Source organism: Homo sapiens, chromosome 9 (genome assembly GCF_000001405.40).
Source record: "Homo sapiens chromosome 9, GRCh38.p14 Primary Assembly".
NCBI classification, from domain to species: Eukaryota; Metazoa; Chordata; class Mammalia; order Primates; family Hominidae; genus Homo; species Homo sapiens.
The window spans coordinates 133,030,662-133,053,283 of record NC_000009.12 but is presented as its reverse complement, the minus strand read 5'-3'; the positions used below and the strand labels follow the sequence as shown (position 1 = coordinate 133,053,283).

General features: G+C 50.2%; 1 protein-coding gene and 1 non-coding gene across 8 annotated transcripts in view, besides 3 other annotated features; both read right to left on the bottom strand.

Annotated features, from left to right (window-relative positions):
• Positions 1-22,576, bottom strand: part of GTF3C5 (general transcription factor IIIC subunit 5) — a 27,796-nt gene extending 5,220 nt beyond the window's left edge. For 3 of the 7 annotated variants that reach the window (XM_017015315.2, XM_017015316.2, XM_047424081.1), the window contains exons 1-5: positions 22,374-22,576; positions 10,978-11,197; positions 9,358-9,556; positions 2,306-2,501; positions 1,120-1,224 (exon numbers count right to left, since the gene is read on the bottom strand). In XM_017015315.2, the coding sequence (XP_016870804.1) occupies positions 1,120-1,224; positions 2,306-2,501; positions 9,358-9,556; positions 10,978-11,197; positions 22,374-22,385 (732 nt within the window). In that variant the 5' untranslated portion in view covers positions 22,386-22,576. Of the gene's footprint in view, positions 1-1,119; positions 1,225-2,305; positions 2,502-9,357; positions 9,557-10,977; positions 11,198-22,119; positions 22,288-22,373 lie in introns of those variants that run through there. The other 4 variants (NM_001122823.2, NM_012087.4, XM_047424080.1 and 1 more) reach the window with 2 other exon arrangements.
• Positions 1,225-1,288, bottom strand: MIR6877 (microRNA 6877). The gene has a single exon (NR_106937.1). It is a non-coding gene; the product is annotated as a microRNA 6877 (primary transcript).
• Positions 4,470-4,539: a silencer, noted in NCBI's record as "silent region_20441". NCBI's record gives its function as "represses an Ori minimal core promoter by ATAC-STARR-seq in GM12878 lymphoblastoid cells {active_cell/tissue: GM12878}" and the evidence as "EXISTENCE:reporter gene assay evidence [ECO:0000049][PMID:35858748]".
• Positions 21,971-22,622: an enhancer, noted in NCBI's record as "H3K27ac hESC enhancer chr9:135906049-135906700 (GRCh37/hg19 assembly coordinates)". NCBI's record gives its function as "activates a minimal SCP1, AML or CMV promoter by ChIP-STARR-seq in primed H9 embryonic stem cells {active_cell/tissue: H9 hESC(primed)}" and the evidence as "EXISTENCE:reporter gene assay evidence [ECO:0000049][PMID:30033119]".
• Positions 22,267-22,526: an enhancer, noted in NCBI's record as "active region_29227". NCBI's record gives its function as "activates an Ori minimal core promoter by ATAC-STARR-seq in GM12878 lymphoblastoid cells {active_cell/tissue: GM12878}" and the evidence as "EXISTENCE:reporter gene assay evidence [ECO:0000049][PMID:35858748]".

Genomic DNA, 22,622 nt, shown 5'->3' with positions numbered 1-22,622 from the left:
ATTAAATGAGATAGCGCCCGTGGAGCCTTTACCATGGTTCCTGGCACATATTAAGTGCCCAATGTTACTACTGGCCTAATCGATGAGACATCTTCTGTCCCTAAACGGAGCTTTTGAATGGCTTATGTCTAAAAAGCCAATGCCAGCCAGCCGCAGTGGCTCTCGCCTATAATCCCAGCATTTTGGGAGACCGAGACAGGCAGATCACTTGAGGTTAGGAGTTCGAGACCAGCCTGACCAACATGGCGAAACCCCATCTCTACTAAAAATGCAAAAAAAGAAAATTAGCTGGGCATGGTGGCGTGCGCCTGTACTCCCAGCTACTTAGGAGGCTGAGGCAGGAGAATCACTTGAATCCCAGAGGCGGAGGTTGCAGTGAGCAGAGATCACACCACTGCACTCCAGCCTGGGAGACAGAGTGAGACTCCATCTCAAAATAAATAAAATAAATAAAATAAAATAAAATGCCAACGCCAAGCAGCACAGGTCGCTCTCCTGAGCCGGAAGTCCAACAAGGCAGAAGAAATGAGTCTTTCTTGTGTCCTACTGCCTGTTGCAGACCCTCACAGTCATGTCTTACGCTGGCCTCCCCTAATGCTCTGTGAGGCCTGGCAGCGGGGAGGATCCCTTTCCAACCAGCACCTTTGGAACCTCAGTAATGACATGTGTCTTTACATGCTTGTGGATCAAAGGTGGATCTGCCTCCCACTGAACCCCACTCAACACAGGTAGAGGACGACATGGGGCCGCTGTGGTCAGGGGCTGGGTTCTGCAGCCCAACAGGCTGTGGAGGGCGCCCTGGACTCAGGGAGCTGAAACTTTTCTAGCTGGCTTTAATAAGCTGTCTTAGGGATGCTAGGATCGGGGGGCCAGGACAGGGGGGAAGGAAGGATGGGGGTGCCAGGACGGGGGAGGTGCTAGGTTGGGGGCAGGGCAGGAAGGATGAGGGCCAGGCCAGGGGTGGGTAGGAAGGATGGGCCAGGATGGGGGTGGGGCAGGAAGGATGGGGAGCCAGGATAGGGGGTTGGCTGCTCTTACTGTGGCTCTAAGACATCACAGCAGGGACCAGGGACCACATGGGTGGAAACCAAGGCAGGTGGGTGGGCAGCTGACACTTACCATGTAATAGGCTATGAAGGGAAGCAAGACCTTGAGCTTGTCTGGGTGGACGCTGATGTTGGCCTTGACAGCATTTCGGGACCAGATGGGACGGATGTCAAACAGCTGGGGAGGCCAAGGGCAGAGGCTGAGATGAGCACCAGCAGCTTCCACCCTTCGGCCCTGAACTCCCAACATGTTCTGGGCCCCAGCGGCCCCTCCAGAGAGGAGCTGGTAGAGGACAGGGGCTGGACACACAGGGCGTGGCCCTAGGACCTCCTGCTCTCACTAATTCATCCCTTCCCTCAGAAGCCTGGGCTGCATGCCCAGCCTGTGCCAAGTGCAGTTGTGGGGCTGGGTCTCTCAAACGATAAGAGACATGGTCGCTGTCCTCATAGAGCCCACAGCGCGGTGGGGAGTACGGCTCAGGGGGCACATGCTAGAGTCCCAGGGTCCCCATGCTGCCCCAATCTACAGAACAGGTGCCTGAGGTGGGACATCGTCAGGGCTGAAGGGGACAGCCTGGCCCGGGGAGGACTGCAAAGGTCAGTGTGGCCGGAGTGTAGAGGGCCAGGGGGCTGGGGCAGCGGGCCTCACGAGCCAATTCAGGTCAGGAATGTGGGCTGTGCCTGGTGGGCAATAAGGAGCCACTGACAGTGTGCCCCAGTGACTGCTGGAAATCAACAAGACATCCACGTGGTCTCCCACAGGCACACTGCGTAAGGGAAGCGCCGGGCTCCAGGTGGCAGTGGCCTGTGAACCTGATGCTCATGCCAGTGGGGACGCAGGACTCCACGGCACCCGCAAGCCCGGGGAAGGAGGGCTGCCTGGCAGCACGGTTCCAGTTCTAACGGTAAGAAAGTGCTGGGCCTGGCACACTAGGTGCCCCACTGGCTTGGCTGCAATGAGTGAATGGAAGAATAAGAGCTCAGTGGATCCCAGAGCTCCACGTTTATGTCACATCTGAACAACGCACGCATATTTTTCTTAAGAACTCTAAGAAGCATTTTCAACCTTGGGAATGTAGAACTTATACCGACACAGCCTTTAGACATGGCATCTGAAGGTGAGAAGTTCCCATGCACTAAGGAATGGGTAAAGGTCAGTGCAGCCAACCCCACAGCCAGGAACAGGGAGCAGCTGGGTAAACACGGGAAGCCAACAGAGAGGCTGGAGCCACCGGGGCCAGGCGCAGCGCAGGACTTGCCTTCCTCAGCTCCTCCTCCACCTTCCGGTCCACGGGGTTAGTGCAGACTCTCCTCCACGTCTGGGCTGCAGCCTCCAGTGGCTGCTTGGGCACCTCCTCATCCTCAAAGTTGACAAAGATGGCATTGTGGGGGCGCCGGGCTCTGCTCAGGCCAATCAGATTCTCACCTGAGATGGGGGGATTGTTGTAGCCTTCCCTGGGGGCAGAGAGTACAGGTGAGAACAGGAGCACCAAGGCCATCCCAGGCACCCGCTGGGCCAGACCAGGCAGGGAGCCCAGAACCCCCCAAGGCCCACAGCCACCGTGTGCCTCTCTCTGGACATCTGTGCTGGGAAAGGACCCCAGAGTTGGCTGCTAAAGGAACCTGTATTCACAGAGGAAGAGACGCAGCCACAACTGCCTATGACAACTCAGAGAAACCCTGGGGCCTGCAGCTCTCAAACTGGGGAAAGGCCAAAAGGTCCTAGAGGCTGGAGTGCAGGAAAGGGCACCTGTCATGGGGCTGGTGGCCCCAAAAGTGCACTGAGTCAGGCACAGCACTGTCCAGCCAGTGAAAAACTGGACAGAGTCTAATGTCCAGCAGCTGGCAATGGTGAAATCACCCAGCACAGCTGCATGAGAGAACGCAATCCGTTGTCAAAACAGGGACAAGAGCTGCACTCACTCACATCTGCTTACATGCGATTCACTTATTTAACGCTCAAACTAATCCTACAGAGAAGGGACCATTTTCTAATAAAGCAGCTGAAACCACAGGGACTGGGAAATTTGCCCAGAGACGGAGCTCCTGGGAAGGAGCTGGGACTCCCATCGAGAAGGCTGGCTGCAAAGGTCCCATCACACACCTGTCCTGCCACCCAACAGAGCATGACTCTTTGGCTCACAAGCATCTCGACCACATGTAGATGAATGAACAAAGAACCTCACCAAATGGCATTGTCATGAAACACAGGGGTTAAAGCCAAGGGTTCCATTTGTCCAAACACATAGAATGTCCAACACCAAGAGGGAACCCCAATGTCAACTACGGACACTGGGTGACGACGTCTCAGCATAGGTTCATCCACTGGTAACAAGCGCCCCACTCTACTGAGATGCTGATCACGGGGGAGGCTGAGTGGGGGTGGCTGGGGGGCATAGGAGAAATCGCTGCGCCTTATTTTGCTGTGATTCTAAAATTGCTCTAAAAAAATAAAGTCTTAAAACACATACACACACATACAAAGCAGAGATTCTAGAACTACCTCTGTATGTTGGCACAGAACACCCTTAGGTAGGTATTTCTCAAAATATTTGTAGTAGTTACGTCTTTAAGGTTGGACACCAAACTGACACAAAAGCAGGCAGGCCAGTGTAAAGAACCCCCACAAGCCCGTCACCAGCTTCAGCAATGATCAGCACATGGTTAACTGCATTTCATCGAAGTGCATCTTAAAGTAGGTCTCGGACATCATCAAATTCACTCGGGTGATCATTACCTTTTAAAATGTGTTTCCATTTTACCTTAGTTTTCTACATGAGTACATAGCATCTGCACACTTACAAAGAATAGCAGTAATTTTCACATTGTGAAACAAAACTAGAAAGACGGGATCGAGCCTGGGCCTTCTTTTTAAAGTGCCTGCGTTAGAAACCGCACGGGACAGGTCAGCACTATCGCGTTTTCAAAGATGTTCCCCAGGAAAACCGGGTGGTCACCTGCAAGAGCAGCCCACCTGTGCCCAACCCTGTAGGGAGAGGCTGCGGCAGCCTTGGCTGCATCCCCAGACCGCTCCCCATGGTGGCCTCAGGCTGTGGTCTGTGTCACCATGATTCTAAGTAGGTGGGGAACTGCTGGCAGGGGTCGAAGGGTGCTGATGGCAAAGTCAACAGGACCACCTTGGAGAGTCCCTGAGGAACAGGAGGGACCCACCATCCTCCAGTTAGGACGACCCCGTCAGGCCACCCAGCAGCCTCTGCTTGCCCACCTGGTTTGTGGGAAGCTCAATCTCCCCAGGAAGGGGCCAAGGAGGCAGTGGCTAGGTCTCCTCCCTGCCAGTCCTCATGCACCCAGCAACGTGAGCAGGGCAGGAGAATCGACAGCAGCCCTGGGAGAAAATGCAGGTTCTTTCCAGGTGCTGGAAACTGATAAACCACATGGGGAGGGAGGGGGGCCTTGGGGCCCGAGGGCAGCTGGCCCTCCTCCCTCATTTTACCCCAGGGGCTGGAAACAGCTTCCCACTGGCCCACAGGGCAGAGCAGTAACTCAGATGCTGCTGCCATCTAGTGCCAGGGGCGGCAGTGCTGACAAGTGCTGTTTTCTTTTTTTTGAGATGGAGTTTCACTCTTGTTGCCCAGGCTGGAGTGCAATGGCACGATCTCAGCTCACCTCAACCTCCACATCCTGGGTTCAAGCGATTCTCCTGCCTCAGCCCCCCAAGTAGCTGGGATTACAAGCATGCGCCACCACGCCCGGCTAATTTTTTGTATATTATTATTTTTTGAGATGGGGTGTCACTCGGTCGCCCAGGCTGGAGTGCGGTGGCGCGATCTCGGCTCACTGCAAGCTCCGCCTCGCGGGTTCACGCCATTCTCCTGCCTCAGCCTCCCAAATAGCTGGGACTACAGGCGCCCACCACCACACCTGGCTAATTTTTTTGTATTTTTAGTAGAGACAGGGTTTCACTGTGTTAGCCAGGATGGTCTTGATCTGACCTCAGGTGATCCACCCGCCTCGGCCTCCCAAAGTGCTGGGATTATAGGTGTGAGCCACCGTGCCCAGTCTGTTTTCTTTTATGTATTTTTGTTTCTGACAAGAGTATGCTGCTTGTGGTGAAGAAAAAACAAACCAAAAAACCACTTTTTTTTTTTAAAACACGGTCCCACTCTGTCACCCAGGCTGGAGTGCAGTGGCACAATGACAGCTCACTGCAGCTTTGACCTCCCAGGCTCAGGCCATCCTCCCATCTCAACTTCCCAAGTAGCTGAGACCACAGGCACACGTGCCACCACACTTGGGTGATTTAAAAAAAATTTTTGTAGACACAGGGTCTCACTATGTCGCTCAGGCTGTTCTCAAACTTCTGGGCTCAAGCGATCCTCCCACCTCAGCCTCTCAAAGTGCTGGAATTACAGGCATGAGCCACTATGCCTGGCCAATAAGTAACTTTAAAAAATAGGCTGGGTGCGGTGGCTTACGCCTGTAATCCCAGCACTTTGGGAGGCTGAGGCAGGCGGATCATCTGAGGTCAGGAGTTTGAGACCATCTTGGTCAACATGGTGAAACCCCGTCTTTACTAAAAATACAAAAGTTAGCTGGGCGTGATGGCGCGCACCTGTAATCCCAGCTACTCGGGAGGCTGAGGCAGGAGAATCACTTGAACCTGGGAGGCAGAGGTTGCAGTGAGCCGAGATCGCGCCACTGCATTCCAGCCTGGGTGACAAGAGGGAAATTCCGTCTCCAAAAAAAAAAAAAGGAAGGATCATGTCACCCCCTGCTTCAAACTCTTATAGTGAGTACAATACACTTACAGAAAATGGTATCATTCTATGTGCAACAGTTTTCTGCAGGGAGGCAAAGTGACTTGATTCTTTTTAGTTAATACATTTCCACAATGTTTTGTTTTTTTCTAACAGGTACAATTTATTCTTACAATCAGAAAAAAGTAGGGGGTGGTGGTGGTAGAGGATGTTACAGACTAGGGGACAGCAACCAAAAGCAACATGTGTGGCCCTTGTTTGGCTCCTGAGTGGCTTTTGAGACAATCGGGAAAAAGTGAACAAGGACTGGTTGTGGGTGATGTTGGGGAGTGCTATTAATTCTGTTGCGTAGGAGACTGGTATTGCGAGTCTGTCTGAAACATGAGTCTTCCCTGTCAGAGATCCGCACTGCTTGTTTCTGAAGGCAGCACTGTGCCACTGGGGGTGGAGAGGAGCAGAATGTTGCTCACTGGACGCTCCTGATGGGCACGTGGGGGCTACTAGACAATCCAATTCTCTCCACCTTTCTGCAATGCTTTTCCGGAGGCAGAGAATAACACACTCTCTCTTGAGGATGAAGCCTAGGCACTGGTCTTCACTCCCCACCCCCATTCTCTGGCTCACCTGCTCTGGGGCACAGCAGCCTCCCCAGCCTTCCTTTGCATGCGCCAATCCCCTGGTCTGGAAAGTTCTCCCTGGATCTTCACCTGGCTGGCTCTGTCTCAGCTCCAGATGTCAGCTCCTCTGAGGGCCCTCGCTGCTACCTGTAGCCCCGGCCCACTGCCTTCCACCAGTGTGGCCCACTCCCCATGATCTCCTTTAAGGCTCCCAGCCATGTACTCATGCTCCGTCTAGCTCCCCGCCCCTGCACTGCACCCCAGCTGCTGTGCTGTCCGTGGACACCAGGCTCCAGGGAGTGCCCTGGGCCACCACAGGTGCTCAGTCAGGACATAAAGGAAACACATAATGAGGAATGAGAAAGCCCTCCCACCCCTTCAAAGAAAACTGCTCTGAGCCCCAAATCTTCCAGACTTTTCTAGGCTTCTGTTATCACACCACCATTTATTTCTATTCCACAGAATCTGGTCTTGCACCTGCCTTTCTCACAGAGCAAGGGAGGCACCTGGGCATGGGTCCCATCAGTCCACAGAGTCCGCTCTTTTTTCTGTTTGTTTTTTGTTTTGTTTATTGAGACAGGGTTTTGTTCTGTCACCCAGGCTGGAGTGCAGTGGTGTGATCATATTCACTGCAGCCTCAAAATCCTGGGCTCAACCAATCTTTCCACCTCAGCCTCCCGAGTAGCTAGGGCTATACAGGTGCACGCCACCATGCCCAGCTAACTTTTTTAGTTTTTTTTGTAGAGACAGAGTCTTGCTATATTGCCCAGGCTGGTCTCAAACTTTTGGCCTCAAGTGATCCTCCTACTTTAGCCTCTCAAATCACTGGAATTACAGGTGTGAGCCACTACACTAGGCCCAAGCCCATTCTCTTGAGGGCTGCATTTTTGGAAGCTTAAAACATGCTATGGAACAATTATTCAACAAACACCATCACCTCTGGCCCAGTTTTCAAAGTCCTTTTCGGGCTGGACACTGTGGCTCACACCTGTAATCCCAGCACCTTGGGAGGCTGAGGTGGGCGGATCACTGGAGGCCAGGAGTTCGAGACCAGCCTGGCCAATATGGTGAAACCTCATTTCTGCTAAAAATACAAAAATAAGCTGGGCGTACTGGTGGGCGCCTGCAGTCCCAACTACTCAGGAGGCTGAGGTAGGAGAATTGTTTTAACCCAGGAAGCAGAGGTTGCAGTGAGCCAAGATCGCGCCACTGCACTCCAGCCTGGGTGGACAGAGCAAGACTCCGCCTTTCAAAAAGAAAAAGAAAAAAAGGCCCTTTCATTTTGCTCATCTGTTGGCAGTAATCTTGCTCCCCTAAATCTGTGTGGGGCCCATGGACACTTGCTGAGTACCTCTCACAGGCCAGGCTCTGTTCTGGGCACCGGGGCTATGACAGAGACCGAAGCAGGCCAAGTCGCTACTTCTGGGGAGCATCCATTACAATGCAAAGTTTTTTTCCATGTTGTCTTTTTGTGCGTCATTTTAGAAAGTAGAGCATACAAAAATCAGGACACCGTTGGCACTGGGCCACGAGCAAAGCCTGCAGAGTGGGAGAGACCAGGGCGGTGCTGCCGGCGGGACGTGGCGCTGACCCCATGTCTCGGCTTCCTCATGTGTACGATGGGGGTGTCAGGAACCCTGGGGAATTGCTCCCAGGCTTGGGTGAGATGCACTCACAGCGCTGCTGCACAGGGACGTGAAATAACTGGCAGTGTGGCTGGTCAATGTTATTCATCCCCAGTTGGATACTGTCAAACTTGTTTTCTTCATTTTGTTTTCACAGTATTCAATCTTGGATTTTATATAAAGGAAATCCTATTCTTTTATGTCAATGTATGGCATTTGACAATTTGACTACATTTGACAATGCCCAGGCCTGCCTTTCCAACAGCCGCTGAGGTCTCTAATTATGTCAAGAACCTCTGAGTTACAGAATTCATTTCATCTGAATTGCATGTGGGCTTGGGCAGGCTGTGCACGGAGCCTGTGTGTGGGTGGCAGGGGGTGGCGGTGGGTGCACTATGAGTCACGTCCATGTGGCTTTTCATAGCTCTCGGTGTAGGAGAAACCCACTACTGATGAGAGAGAGTGAGCGCCTGTCCTCAGGAGAGGCACCGTGTTCTGGAGGGGACGCAGTCCATAACCAAGTACAGAGCAGGCGAGAGCTGTGTAGAGTCACAGATGCCTTGAGAAGGATGGCACTGGGCGATGGGCAGGGTCAGGGGTTCTCTGAAGCGACCTCCAGCCGCACAGGGCAGACCAGGAAAGGGTAAACAGCTGGGGTGAAGTAGGACCAAGGCTTGGCAGGTGAGTGTGGCAAAGAGAGGAGGGCAGGGCAGGGACAGATGATAAAGAGGCTGCAAAATCTCCGCCACGGACAGGGACGGTGAGGCCATGGGGAGCAAAGGAAGTAGGAAAGAGCTGGGGTCAGAGAGTGGGACATTCCCACGAGGCTTGCTTAGGTAGTGTCATTACTAGTGACAGCAAGGTCCAGAGACTGGCTGGTCAGCAATGACCAGGGGATTAAGCCAAAGGACATTTCTCAGCAGGAACCCACATGTCCCACAGTCACGTTCTTTGCACTGTCCTCAGGACTGAGGCCAACCTGGCGATCACACAGGCCACCGCTTACTAAGGCCCTGTTCTGTACTCAGCCCTGTGCTGAGAACTGCACACACTTTTTAAATTCAATCCCAATACGTCTGTTGGGTAGTACTACTGTCATCCCATTTTCTTTTTTTTTTTTTTTTTTTTTTTGGGAGACAAAGTCTCACTCTGTCACCCGGGCTGGAGTGCAGTGACGCGATCTTGGCTCACTGCAACCTCCGCCTCCTGGGTTCAAGTGATTCTCCAGCCTCAGCCTCCCGAGTAGCTGGAATTACAGGTGTGCACCACCACGCCCAGTGTGTGAGCCTCCGTGCCCGGACCATCCCATTTTCAGGATAGAGAACCGAGGCTGCATGGAGGGGGGCCTTACCGGTGCTGGGTCTCTGGTCGGTAGAAGTAGTCCACCGGGGCGTCCAGCCGGGAGAAGATGGGTGGGGGGATGTAGAGCGGCAGCTCCTGGTGGAAAAAGGCCTCCTTCTCGGGCCGGAGCATGAGCACCTTGTCATACATTGACGTATGCTTGCCGCCTGCTTCCGTATGCACAGCCAAGTACTGGAAGTCAGACATCCCTAGAAAGAGAGGTGGGCAGATGGCAGACATTGAGTCCAGGAATGGGCAGCTGCCACACACCGACACCCACATCTGCTTAGGGAGGTGCTGAGTGGGCCATGTGGTGGAGGCTGCAGGGTGAGGGTGGCAGGAAAACACACCCTTCCCAAATGCCTCTGCAAAGTTGGCTCCATGCAGTCTAAGTCACTTACATGAAAATTATTTTGGGGAGGTGGGGAGCTACATGATAGGTGAGGATGGAGTCCAGGTCAGTGCTTCTTAGATGAATGTTACTTTTAACTGTAAAACCTGCAATTACCTTTGCACCAACCTAGTAACATGCATATGAATCTGCTGGGATCTTGCTAAATGCAGGTTCTGACCTGGTGCATTTCTACCAAGCTCCCAGGTGAGGCTGATGCTGCCAGTCCAGAGACACACACAGAGCAGCAAGATGCTGGTTCAATTCGATGAAAAATATGAGGTGTTATGTTTTATGAATCACTTGGGAAACCTTGTCCCAAAAGAACAGCCCTCTTTGGTGAATGCCATGACCCACCAGAATGACTGCCATTAAAAATGCCCAACCCATGGGACCCCAGGTCCTGCTTCTCCTTCATTTCACTTTCTTCTTCCCCTCTTTTCTTTCTAGTCCTCTTTGCCCTTCTCAATCTTTATACTCTTCAGATTCTGCCTAGAACTGCAGATGTAACTTAGCCATCTCTAAGCCTTGTTAGTAATATGCCAGGCACCTCCTGTGGGCCAGAGGCTGGCCCATTCACAAGCATTGCCTCCCGGAATCTTCACGAGGGCCTAAGGAACGCAGGCTCTGTAGCCCGCACTGCACAGACAAGGACACTGAGGCTCAGGGAAGCCAAGCCACCTCCCAAAGAAACTGGCAGGGCTCAGGCAGGCACAATGCCAGAGTCTGTCTTTCTCACCCGTCTCCCTCCCTTGCTTTATTGCTTCCTCACTGGGGTTCCTGGTAGGTGGGAAACCTGATTGAGGGCTCCACGAGGGACGTTCAACCTGCTGAGAGTTCAGAGGAGGAGGAGGTCCCAAGGGGCTTCGGGAGCTAGGAGGGCAAGACCAACAGCAGCCGAGACAAGAGAAGGTTCAAAACACTGTGGTGGGGGAAAGACTGGAGGTCTACTGACCAGTTTTATTTGGTCCCACACAATGGTTTCATTAAAAATTAGGAGATTTCTAGCTTAAGAATGCTGAAGATTGGGCAGCAATGAACCTGCAGTCTCTGGGGAACTGTTGGCTGGAGGGAAGAAAGGCTGCCTCCTGGATGGGGCCTGTGCCCTGCTGTGTCCCCACAGCCCCTGGGCATATCCTGGCCCCCTCCACTGGTGCAGATGACCCACACAGCTCCTGCAGGCAGCTAGGATGGCCAGCCCTGAAATAACCAGACATTGCAAGAGCAGATTTCAGTTACCCTGAAATTTGTAAATGGTGGAGATGATGCCAAGGATCTCCATGTCAAATGTGACCTCGGAGTGGGCCTCAGTGCCCAGCACCCCTTTCTGCCGCCTCGTTCTCTTCCTGATGCGGAGCAGCAGGCTGCTGGTACTGAAGCGGTTGGCGCACACTGGGTGGCAGTATGGGTCCTTGGGCCGGAAGTACAGCTCCAGCCTCTTGGTGGGGTCTGCGTAGATCTGTGGCAAGGCCAAAGGAGACAGAGTGAAGCAATGACAAGCCAAGCAGCCAGTGGGGAGCTGCTCCTCTCTCAATAAAAGCCTGACGGTGATCCAGGAAAGGCCAGGAGGCTCATGTTTCATTCTGGGCCCTTAATTCCCAAAAGGCCCATTTTTTAAACCCATGTATCTTAGTTTTTATCTGGTGGAAAAAATGAGAATCGTCTCCTTCCTTCTAAGTAAATGCCATCATCCATCAAGTGCCTGCTCGGTGTGGGGCATTAGTTGGTCCTTCTGGCAACACTTGAGGGGAGATACTATCACCCTTATCTTTGTAGGGACCAGCCCCACAGGGTCGGTGGGTTTTTCTCCCTGTGTGTGGAGACGAGACTGCAGAAATAAAGACACAAGACAAAGACATAAAAGAAAAGACAGCTGGGCCCGGGGGACCACTACCACCAAAATGCGGGGACCGGTAGTGGCCCCAAATGTCTGGCTGCACTGTTATTTACTGGATACAAAGCAAAAGGGGCAGGGTAAAGAGTGTGAGTCATCTCCAATGATAGGTAAGGTCACGTGGGTTATGTGTCCACTGGACAGGGGGCCCTTACCTGCCTGGCAGCCGAGGCAGACAGAGAGGGAGAGAGAGAGACAGCTTATGCCATTACTTCTGCATATCAGAGACTTTTAGTACTTTCACTAATTTACTACTGCTATCTAAAAGGCAGAGCCAGGCGTACAGGACGGAACATGAAGGTGGACTAGGAGCGTGACCACTGAAGCACAGCATCACAGGGAGACAGTCCCCCGGATAACTGCGGGCAGGTCTGACTGATGTCAGGCCCTCCACAAGAGGTGGAGGAGTAGAGTCTTCTCCAAACTCCCCCAGGGAAAGGGAGACTCCCTTTGCAGGTCTGCTAAGTAGCGGGTGTTTTTCCTTGACACTGATGCTACCGCTAGACCATGGTCCGCTTGGCAAGAGGCGTCTTCCCAGACACTGGCGTTACTGCTAGACCAAGGAGCCCTCTGGTGGCCCAGTCTGGGCATAACAGAAGGCTCGCACTCTTGTCTTCTGGTCACTTCTCACCATGTCCCCTCAGCTCCTATCTCTGTATGACCTGGTTTTTCTTAGGTTATGATTATAGAGCGAGGATTATTATAATATTGGAATAAAGAGTAATTCCTACAAACTAATGATTAATGATATTCATATATAATCATGTCTATGATCTAGATCTAGTATAACTTGTTGTTTTATGTATTTTATTATACTGGAACAGCTCATGCCCTCGGTCTCTTGCCTCAGCACCTGGGTGGCTTGCCACCCACAATCTTGGAGGTAACTCAGGCTTGGTGCGGGGTGGAGTGGCTTGTCTAGGGTTACCTACTCTAACAACTACCCACCATAAAGGGTCTTGGTATTTAGTCTCATATGCAAATGTTTCGAGGTCCAAATGAGATTAAATCAATCAGTAACAACCATTTGGGCTCTGACTTGCTGTTACCTCTAGCTTTCCAAGCACATGAAACTGAATACCAACACTCTTTTTGGTCCCTCTCCTTAAAAACCCCAAGAATAGCATCTATGTCATACGACTGTTATGATTAAATATCTATAAAGCACAGCTCCTGGTGCCTAACTCATGGTAGACATTCAATATGTGCCACGTACATATGAATGAATACTTGCCCAATGCTGGGTCACAACGAGCACTGGATGTGTGCATATGAAAGCACCAACAACGTGAACTGGGACAAGGTCACCTACGTGCTAGTGAGCTGGTTCCCAACACCCAGGACAGGGTCTGTCCCTTAGGAAGTGATCAGGAACTATCTCGGGAGAGAATGAAGAAGACTTGGTTCTCAGGAATCTCCTCCTCATAAAACACACACCTCTGAGTCCCGATGGGGCGGGAATGAACCCAAACGTAGGCCTGGCACAGGGGAGGTGCTCAAGAAACATGAGAAGAGTGAATGAGTAAGGAAGGTCCCTTCCCAAAGTGCTCACACTGTAATAATCCCTGAGGTTAGCGAGAGTAAGGATTCTGTCAAAGCCATAAATCAAGAGAATAATATAAAAGAAGAAAACGTGATTAACTGGGGCTCTACTGGCAGCCCGTGCTTAATGAATTCAGGGCTTTTCCATATTCATAAAGGATGAGGAAGCAGCAGGTAAAAGTTCAGACTCTAGAGCAAAGCATGAGTTCAAATCCCCTTGTACCATGTAGATGTCTGACCTAAACTTTCTTGTGTCTTTATCTGAAAAATGTGAATAAAAATGGCATCTAACTCACTAGATTGCTGTGAAGACTCAATCGTGCATTTGACAAGTATTTACAGAACTAGGCACTGTTATGGATGTTAGGAACAGAGAACTGGGCCAGGCATGGTGGCTCATTTAGCAAGATCCCGGCAGATTCATATGCATGTATTCCAGCCCTTTGGGAAGCCAAGGCAGGCGGATCGCTTGAGCCCAGGAGTTCGAGACCATCCTGGACAACTTAGGGAGACCACGTCTCTACAAAAAATACCAAAAACTAGCTGGGCGTGGTGGTGCATGCCTATAGTCCCAGCTACCTGGCAGGGTGAGGTGAGAAGATCACCCGAGCCTAGGAGGTTGAGGTTGCAGTGAGCCATAATTGCTCTACTGCACTCCAGCCTTGGTGACAGAATGAAACCCTGTCTCAAAAAATAAAAAAATAAAAATAAAGAAGTACAGAAGTGAACAAAAGAAGTCCCCACTCTCATGGAGTTGACAGTCTTAGGGTCAAGAGGACGAGAGACAGTAAATTTTTTTTTCCTTTTTTCTTAAATGTTTTATATGTATAAGCCTTTGTCAGAATAAACATTTTAAAACATTTTCAGATTGGAATTAACAGGATGAGGAGGCAGATAATTGCCAGTGGCCACTTTAGTTAGGGCAATCAGGGAAAACTTCTCTAAAGAGACACTTCAAGTTCTGGTACATGTAAAGAACTTACACATAGCATCCTCCAGCTGCCCCACTTGCTGTGTGACCTCGAACAAGTTCCTTCCCCCGTAAAATACAGACTCTGACAGTTCCTACCTGGTAGGGTTCTAAAGAGGACGGACTCTAAGTAAGGCACCTAGAGCCGTACGTGGCAGAGAATAAGATGTCAACCATCACTACCTCTAATCCTAACAACATAACAGTCTATCCCTCTCAGGTAAGTCAACAGAGCTTCATCTCCCCGTGCCTCAGTTTTCTACCCCGGGTAATGAGGATACGGCAGTGCAACACACCCTGTGGGGCTGCAGAGTTGCATTCCTGGCACCAGTGCCCAGGCTGTGGCTCACATTTGTGGATGGAATGAAAAAAAAGCCCCTAGGAGCCGGGCGCAGTGGCTCACACCTGTAATCCCAGCACTTTGGGAGGCCGAGCTGGGTGGATCACCTGAGGTCAGGAGTTCGAGACCAGCCTGGCCAACATGGTGAAACCCCAACTCTACTAAAAAAAAAAAAACAAAAATTAGCCGGGCGTGGTGGTGGGTGTCTATAATCCCAGCTACTCAGGAGGCTGAGGCAGGAGAACTGCTTGAACCCGGGAGGCGGAGGTTACAGTGAGCCGAGATCGCGCCACTGCACTCCAGCCTGGGCGACGGAGCCAGACTCCGTCTCAAAAAAAAAAAAAAAAAAGCTCCTAGGGGTCTCCCCCACAGTCCCTTCCCCTCTGTCCCCTGGGGAGAAAAAGGCTGTTCCTGGCAATTACAGATACCAAAGCCCTGCCCATTGGGCACCCAGAGTCCACCACACTCTCCGTTGCCAAGGAAACCACACGCCCGGGTAGACTCTCCCCTTCAGCCGCCGTCCAGCAACTCCGTCCCTCTCTCAGTGTCCCGGATATTAGATATCCAGGTTGAGTGAGTTCCTCCTCAAAGGTTCAGCTTGTTCAACTCCCTTCTTCTTTGTTCTCCATCTTCAAAGTCTAACTTCCTTGTTCTTTGCGCCTCCTTGCCCTTAGTTACCCGCTCTGTAACTGCCCTTCCCGCCGAAACTATTCTTCCTGGCGAAACCGCTCATCCAGCCACTGTAACCCACATCCCTGTTCTATTTGAAATAGCCAATCGAGATCAGCTTAGATTGTGCGGTCCAACTCCAGCCAGTGGGACAAGACACAGGAACCTTTCCTCCTTTGTTCCGTGTGCTCTGGTGGCCAGAAGAGCGAGCAGCACAGCACCTTTCTTCTGCAGAACTAAATGTGCTAAGTTTACTTCTGCAGAAGGGTGCTGCTCGCTCTTCTGTTTGTTCCCTTCCGTCTAGCGTCAGCTGCTCCTCAGAAGAGCTTTTTGTTTCAGGGGTAAAGGGAGAAGGATTTAGAGCAAAAATCTTAGAAGACGCAGAGTTCAAACATAAAAATCGAACAGCCCACGTTAAATTTCTGCTAATCCCTGAAGCAGGAACTAACCCGTTAGGAAGAGACTTAAAGTTAGGTATAGGTTTACATGTTAGCCCAGAAGGATTCCTCACCTCATTAAACCTACTTACCACCATGAAGAAAAATACATTCATCCCGATCTCTGGTCAAGGGAAGGGAATTGGGGAAGACTCCAAGTCCCACCCCCCCACCATACATATAAAGTTAAAAACCCCGGGGGGAAATAGTAAGAAGGAAGCAATATCCCATCCCCTTAGAAGGCAGAATAGGCCTAAAACCTATCATTGAGAGTCTCATTAGGGACGGGCTCCTTGAACCCGGTGTGTCCCCTTATCCCAATACTGCCTGTAAGAAAGTCAGATGGGTCATACTGACTAGTGCAAGGCCTCTGGGCCATCAGCCAGATATTCCAGACTACTCACCCTGTTGTCCCTAATCCTTACACCCTCCTCAGCAAAATTCCATACGACCATCAGTGGTTTACAGTAATATATTTAAGATGCTTTTTGGGCATGCCCCTTGTCTGAGGACAGCCGAGACATTTTTGCTTGCGAATGGAAAGATCCCCATTCCGGACGGAAGCAACAGTATCGACGGACAGTTCTCCCCCAAGACTTCACAGACTCCTCTAACCTCTTCGGTCAGATTCTAGAACAAGTTCTAGAACAAATTTCTACCCCAAAACACATGCCTGCTCCAATACGTGGATGACCCGCTGGTATCTGGTGAAGCTACAGAACGGATAGCTGCCCTCTCCGTCCACCTCCTTAACCATTTGCAAGGAAAAGGGTTATGGGGTTTCAAAGGGAAAGCTTCAATCTGTAGAGCCAGAAGTTAAATACCTAGGACACTTGATACGAAGGACAGGAACTGAACACGTCGAAGGGATCGTGTCCTTCTTAACTTTGCCTAAAACTAAGCAGGAACTCGTAACATTCCTAGGATTGGTTGGATATTGCCGCTTACGGATTGACTCATATGCCCTAAAAACAAAATCTTTATACCTAAAGCTTGCCCAAGAAAAGCCTGACCCTCTTCTGTGGACCTCTGAAGAAATCCACCAGGTTGAAGAACTAAAACATATGCTCATAACTGCCCCGTCCTAGCCCTGCCTTCCCTAGAAAAGCCATCTCATCTTTTCATTAATGTAAAGAAGGGGGTAGCTTTAGGGGTACTTACTCAAGAACACGGGGGTCACTGGCAACCTGTGGTGTTCCTGTCGAAAGTTTTAGATCCAGTAACCTGTGGATGGCTTGAATGTATTCAATCCATTGCGGCTACGGCTTTGTTAACTGAAGAAAGCAGAAAGCTGACCTTTGGGGGAGATTTAGTTGTGAGCACGCCTCATCAAGTTAGAACTATCTTAAACCAGAAAGCAGGGAGATGGCTCACTGACTCAAAAATTTTAAAGTATGAAGCTATCCTATTAGAGAGATGATTTAACACTAACCACTGATAATTCACTTAACCCAGCAGGTCTCCTAACAGGGAATCCAAATCTAAAAGGACCTGAGCATGAGTGTTTAGATTCAGGCCCGATGTAAGGGAGACCCCTTTCAAACAGGGCAGCACTTATTTATAGATGGCTCTTCCCAGGTAACTGAAGGAAAAAGACATAATGGATATTCAGTAGTCTATGGGGAAGCCCTTGCAGAAGGAGGGTCAGGAAGGCTGCCCAGTCATTGGTCTGCCCAAACATGTGAATTGTTTGCAATGAATCAAGCCTTAAAGCACTTGCAAAACCAAGAAGGAACTATTTATTCTGATTCCAAGTACGCCTTCGGGCTAGCTCATACCTTTGGAAAAATTTGGACCGAACGAGGTCTCATTAATAGCAAAGGCCAAGACCTTGCCCACAAGGAATTAATCACCCAAGTGTTAGGTAACCTCCAGCTGCCAGAAGAAATAGCTACTGTCCATGTCCCAGGACACCAGAAAGGTCTTTCTTGTGAAAGTCGAGGTAATAACCTTGCAGATCAAATAGCCAAACAAGCTGCCATTTCCTCAAAACGCTCACTTTTCACCTAACCCCTTGTCTTCCTCCCCCGACCGCAGTTCCCATCTTCTCTTCCACTGAAAAAGGGAAATTAATAAAAATAGGGGCCAAAGAGAATTCTGAAGGGAAATGGGTGTTACCAGACCAAAGAGAAATGTTATCCAAACCCCTCAAGAGAGAAGTCTTATCTCAGCTGCATCAAGGAATTCACTGGGGACCCCAAGCCATGTGTGATGCAGTTCTCAGGGTTTAGGGATGTATAGGAATTTATACTCTGGAAAGACAAGTTACAGATAGTTGTCTAATATGCAAAAAGACTAATAAGCAGACCCTAAGAAAACCACTCCCTGGGGGAAAGGAGTCCAGGGTTAAGACCGTCCCAAAGTGTCCAAATTGATTACACCGAAATGCCCCCAGTCGGTTGCCTAAAGTACTTATTAGTGATAGTAGATCACCTTACGCACTGGAGGGAACCTATTCCCTTTTCAAGTGCAACTGCTAATAATGTAATTAAAGCATTGATTGAGAATATTATACCCAGGTTTAACAGATTAATACAAAATATTGATTCAGATAATGGGACTCATTTCACTGCACATGCCGTCAAGAAACTAGCCCAAGTACTAGACATAGCAGGGGAATACCACACTCCCTGGCACCCACCTTCATCAGGAAGAGTGGAGAGAATGAACCAAACTCTGAAGAGTCACTTAACCAAATTAGTCTTAGAGACTCGGTTGCCATGGACTAAATGCCTTCCCATTGCCTTGTGAAAAATCCGAACTGCCCCTTGGAAAGATGTTGGCTTATCCCCTTATGAAATGCTATATGGGTTGCCTTATCTACACTCCATTGCTGACATTGCTACGTTTGAAACAAAGATCAGTTTCTTAAAAACTATAAACTTGGTCTCTCCTCCACTTTTTCTTCCCTCAGGACTGAAGGCCTCTGAGCACAGACGCCAGCTCTAGAGTTTCCAGCACACCAGCATCAGCCTGGGGATCACGTTCTCATCAAAAGCTGGAAGGAGGGAAAACTTGAACCAGCTTGGGAAGGGCCTTATCTGGTACTCTTAACTACTGAAACAGCGATTCGAACGGCTGAAAAGGGATGGGCACACTACACGCCAGGTGAAAGGAGTAATGTCCACAGACAGGGAAAAATGGGCTGTCACCCCGGGACCCACCCCTACCAAACTAACCCTAAAAAGGGCTTAATAATCACTTGTCTATTTTTCCTTTTCTTTCCAACATAAGGTCATCTTGTCATCAATGTGACTCAGGCTAACCATCCCTTGACCCTTCAGTTCGACACTTGTTCTTACCCCGTGCAGATACGAACAAGCTCAAAGGCAGCTATCCGATGTAGTTAAGTATCCATGTCCATATCGCAGACAGTCAAACAAGTATAAGTATGGAGCCTTAAAGGGCCCCTGTGGTGACTGGGCAAATGTTTGGTGGACCAGTCAATATGGGAGGCGGACAGCCAACCCCCCTCCTTTAAATAAGTTGCGGAAACTCAAACAAAAACTCTAACTTATCCATCGCTCCACTCCACCAAATTGTAAGCCACTGCGGTGTAACCCCTTATTGCTAATTATAGATAATCCCCAAACAATGGCCCAAGAACCCTCTGTATTCGGACGGTACGGGTTAGGAGCAGATGTTACAGGACGGGATCCCATAGGAACCCTCTCTAAGGTTGACTGGACCATCGGCGGTTAAAAACAATGAAGAAACCCAGACCCAGAGTCCAGGGAACGTATGGGACCCAACGCTCTCCCCAAACATATCAGGCCCAGTGTTCCCCTCCGGTCTCCACAACGACCCAGCCAAAGTAGCAGCTGTAGAAGTAAGAGACCTAAAGCAAACTCTAGCAATTGAAACAGGGTACTGAGATGCAAACGCCTGGATGGAATGGATTAAATATTCTGTCCGCACTTTAAACAAAAGTGATTGTTACACTTGTGCACACAGTAGACCAGAAGCCCAGACTGTCCCCTTTCCACTTGGATGGTCCTCCAGACGAGTGGGCATGGGCTGTACGGTAGCTCTTTTCCAGGACCCCACAGCCTGGGGTGATAAATCGTGCCGAGCTCTCTCTCTGCTGTTCCCTGAGGTTCAACACCCTGCGGGTCAGCCCCTGAGGGCTATCCAGCTTCTGTCTCCCAGTGCCAATTTTACTTTGTGTCTCTTGTGACAGGGAAAATTTGGCATTCCTTGGGGACCTAACAGGATGCAGTGAGCTTAAGCCCTTCCAAGAGCTTACCCATGAATCTGCCCCTAGTCATTTATCCTGAGCAGATGTATGGTGGCATTGTGGTGGACCGTAACTGGATACTCTGCCAAGTAACTGGAGCGGTACCTGTGCTCTGATCCAATTGGCCATCCCTTTCACTCTGGCATTTCATCAACCAGAAGAAGTAAAAACAAGACACCGTAGAGTAAGAGATGCCCCCCGTGGTTCCTTTGACCCTCGTGTTTATACAGATGCCACTGGAGTTCCCCGAGGGGTACCTGATGAATTTAAGGCTTGTAATCAAATAGCTGCGGGATTTGAGTCTATGTTTTTCTGGTGGTTAACTATAAATAAAAATGTAGATTGGATAAGTTACATCTATTACAACCAGCAACAATTTGTTAATTATACTAGGAATGCTATCAAAGGAACAGCTGAACAACTAGGACCCACCAGTCAAATGGCTTGGGAAAATAGAATAGCATTAGAAATGATACTAGCAGAGAGGGGTGGCGTTTGTGTCATGCTTGGAACCCAATGTTGTACTTTTATCCCAAATAATACTGTTCCTGACGGAACCATAACAAAGGCACTGCAAGGTCTTACTGCTTTATCCAATGAGCTAGCTTAAAATTCTGGGATAAACGATCTCTTCACTGATCTAACGGGAAGATTGTTCGGCAGGTGGAAAGGACTTATGTCCTCGATCCTTATGTCCCTTGCCATTGTAATAAACGTGTTTATTCTCGTAGGATGTTGTATCATACCCTGTGCCTGAGGGTTAATACAAAGACTTACGGAGACAGCTCTCACTAACCTCCAATTTCCCCCCGCCTTATTCAGACAAACTTCTACTTTTAGAAAACCAAGAACAGCAAAGTCGAGACATGCTAAAAAGGTTTGAAGAGAAAGAAGTATGAAAATCAAGAGGGGGAAACTGTTCTATACAGTGAATTCTTCTTCAAAGGTTCAGCTTGTTCAACTCCCTTGTTCTTTGTTCTCCATCTTCAAAGTCTAACTTCCTTGTTCTTTGTGCCTCCTTGCCCTTAGTTACCCGCTCTGTTTAACTGCCCTTCCCGCCGAAACTAGTCTTCCCACCGAAATCGCTCGTCCCGTCACTGTAACCCACACCCCTGTTCTATTTAAAATAGCCAATTGAGATTAGCTTAGATTGTGTGGTCCAACTCCAACCAGCAGGGACAGGACACAAAAACAGGGACTGACTGCCTTAGGGATAAAAACCCATTCCAGGCTGGGCACGGTGGCTCACGCCTATAATCCCAGCACTTTGGGAGGCCAAGACGGGTGGATCACCTGAGCTCAGGAGTTCAAGACCAGCCTATAGGACACAGTAAATTCCACTTCAAAGATTTTAGCCTTTTACCTTCCTTTAAATTCAAGAGGGGGAAAATTAATAAATACAATGAGTTATGAGTTCCATTTCAAAGAACCAATATGTCAGTATGTTCAGCTTCCCTGTTCTTTGTTCTCCATTTTAAAGTTTAACCCCTCGTTCTTTACGCCTCCTTGCCCCTAGTTTCAGTAAACAACCCCTTCCTAGCTTCTATCACCTGCTCTGTCCTTAGTCATCCTGAGTCACCTGCTCTGTAACCATCCTTCCCACCAAAACTACTCACCCCGCCACTCAGGCCTGTGCCCCTGCCCTCTTTGAAATAACCAATCGGAATTAGCTTAGACTGTGCGGTCCAACCCTAGCCAATATGGGAAAGACACAGCAGTAGAGACTAGCTGTGTAAGAGATAGGAACCCCTTCCCCTTCCTTGTCGGTGTGCTCTCGCCATTGCTCCATCCGCAAGATGCACCCTTCTATAGAAGGAAATTTGCCTTGCTGAGAAAACTGTTTGCCAGAGTGCTGATTCTTCTTTGCGGCACCCAAAATTTATTTCCAACAAGCCTGACCAACATGGTGAAACCCCCTCTCTACTAAAAAATACAAATTTAGCCGGGCGTGGTGGCATGCGCCTGTAATCCCAGCTACTCTGGAGGCTGAGGCAGGAGAATCGCTTGAACCCTGGAGGCGGAGGTTGCAGTGAGCCAAAATCGCACCACCGCACACCAGCCTGGGAAACAAGAGCGAAACTCCGCCTGAAAAACCAACAAAAAAACAAAAACAAAAACAAAAATCCTTCCCTTCTTTGTTCTGTTGGCTCTCTTGCAGCGGCCAGAAGAGCGAGCAGCACCCTTCTGCGTAAGTAAATTTGCTAAATTTCCCTTGCTGAGAAATCCTTTGAGTGCTCGTTTTCTTTGCGACTCCGAGCTCTTATTCCAACACCGAGATTCCCAGCCCCTTACCCGGGAGACGCCTTCCTCGCCGCCCAGAGTCGGCAGCATCTTAGCCACATCACGCACCACTCCCGGGTACTCCACGCACACCATGCGTCGCTCCCGCCTCAGCTCCACGGGGACGGCGGCCCCCAGCCCCAAATCGGCCGCCTCCGCCGCCATCCCTGTGCGTCTGGCAGGGCCCGCCAGGGTCCGTCCCACAAAGTACTCCCAAAGGCCTCGCCTCAATTGTTCCGCGAAGGAATCGTTCCGGGCTCCCTCACCGCTCGCGTCATCCTAACTCCCCGGGCTCAGCAAGACGCGAGGGCCTCCAGGGAGCAAATGGCCCATGGGAGGGCCCATGTCTTCGGGAAAACGACCGCCGTGTCCTCGACTTTTTATTTAAAATTAAGCGAGTTAGTCCACCGGGCGGGGCAAGCACCAGTCTCTCCTACTAGCCAGCGAGGGACCCGGAGGATAATAAGACACAAACCTCCCTCGACTTCAGCCAATGAGAATCCGAGGGCCGAGCG